The sequence below is a fragment of the Homo sapiens genome, chromosome 3 (assembly GCF_000001405.40).
Source record: "Homo sapiens chromosome 3, GRCh38.p14 Primary Assembly".
Taxonomy (NCBI): Eukaryota; Metazoa; Chordata; class Mammalia; order Primates; family Hominidae; genus Homo; species Homo sapiens.
Genome location: NC_000003.12, coordinates 17,109,067 through 17,111,045, shown reverse-complemented (window position 1 = coordinate 17,111,045; position 1,979 = coordinate 17,109,067). Strand labels below are relative to the sequence as shown.

At 39.7% G+C, this 1,979-nt stretch overlaps 1 annotated feature.

The window, feature by feature from the left end:
- Positions 276-345: an enhancer, noted in NCBI's record as "active region_19563". NCBI's record gives its function as "activates an Ori minimal core promoter by ATAC-STARR-seq in GM12878 lymphoblastoid cells {active_cell/tissue: GM12878}" and the evidence as "EXISTENCE:reporter gene assay evidence [ECO:0000049][PMID:35858748]".

Sequence of the window (1,979 nt, the reverse complement as noted above, 5' to 3'; positions counted from 1 at the left end):
TTTCAGGGAGGGGTAACTGTTACTCATTATTCCTTATTTAAATAATAATGATGTGATTTCTCAGAAGAATTCATACTCCACTAAATTTAAAAGCACTCGAGATGTCAGCTTGACTGCCATTTCCTGCTTGTGCCCCTATGATGAGGCCTGAGAGTAGACAAATTCTATCCTCTACACCAGTTCCCCAATTCAGGGGAAAGACCCAGAGGACAACACACTTGCACGAAAACCTTCCCAGCCATGAGCATCGAGCAAGCAGTTCTGCATTCATAAAAAGGAACAGAGTTCTATGGACGTCCTGACACACTATGAAAAATATTAGCGTAAAAGAGAGGAGGACCAAGACAAACACACAGAACAACTGTCCACAGAGGTAATAATGGAGAGAAAAAAATTTAGAAGGATCTAAATGGGTCCTAATTACAGTCACAAAACAGGAATAGTTCCCATAAAAAGAAGTAATCACCAGAAAAAAGGTCTTAAAAACAGGAAATATTAAAGCCAGCATCATATGAATCAATCTAAGAACTGAACAAGAAAGCATCAAGAAAGTCTCCTAAGACATGGAGCAAAAGCACAAGAGATGAATAAAATGAAGGACAGTTAAGGGACCCTGTGGATTGATCTAGGAGGTTTAACATCCATCTACAATCGTCCCCTGGTGTCTGTTGGGGATTGGTTCCAGGACCCCCGCAGACATCAAAAATCCATGAATGCTCAAGTTCTGTATATAAAATGGTGTCATATTTGCATACAATCTATGCACATCTTCTAGTATCCTTTAATCACTAGATTACTTATAATACCTAATACAATGTAAAAGCTATGTAAATAGTTGTTATACTCTATTGTTTAGGAAATAATGACAAGAAAAAAAGGTCTGTATGCTTTCAGTGCAGACACAACCATCCTTTGTTCATTTATTTTTTATTTATTTTTATTTTTAAATTTTTTTTTTGCTGGACACCATTAATTAGAGGTACATCTTTTTTACAAAAATATTTTCTATCCGCTGTTAGTAGAACCTACAAATGTGGATTCCATAGATACAAAAGGCTGGCTGTAATAGGAATTCTGGAGAGAAAGAATAGGCAGAATAGAGAGATTATAATTAAATAAACAGTAGAAAAATATTTCCAGAGTTGACACACAAGATTTCATAATAAAAGGGCCTATCAGTGATCAAGCAGGACATTAAATATCACTGACACACTGAAGACTCTCAAACCTGTGTCCCTGACGTCTCGCTGCCTAGACCATTTGACATATACACTGGCTCCATCAGTCTATCTGGCACATCAATTTAGATAGGTCCTAACACTTTTAATGTTTTTCTCCAAACCTGCTTTCCCCCAGGTCTTGCTGCTTTCATTGAATGGCATGCTGTTCACCTAGTTGCTCAGGTGAAAACCAAGGAGCCATCCTTGATTTCATTTCCTTTCCTCCTGCATCCAATTAAGATCCACATCTGATAACATCTCCCCATCTCTACGGCCACACTCTATTCCAAACCACCATCATTGCTTGCCTGGTTGACAGCAATAGCTTCCTAACAGATCTTCCTGTTCCTCCTCTAGACCCTTTATAATCCCATTTTCCATACAACAGTGAGAGTGATCTTTAAAGTGGAAATCAGATCATATTCCCCCCTAGTTTATCCAGAATAAGATCCGAGTTCCTTGCAGGTTCTGCAGGGTCTATCTCCTTTTTGGCTCTCAGACCTCATCTCCTACCCCTTTCAAGAATTGATGACAAATTATCCAGTCACCCAGGGATTTTCTGTTTCCAGACATCCAGTCCGTTCCTGCCTTGGTCCTTTGGGGTCATGTTCCCTTTCTACTAGTGCTCCTTCCCAGATTGCTACATGGCTCCTTCTCGTTATTCAGAGCTCTGCTTCAGTGTCACTTTAGAGAGGGTCCCCACCCCTAATCACCTCATCCAAAGCACCCTCTCATCCTGCACCAGTTTACTATGACCTA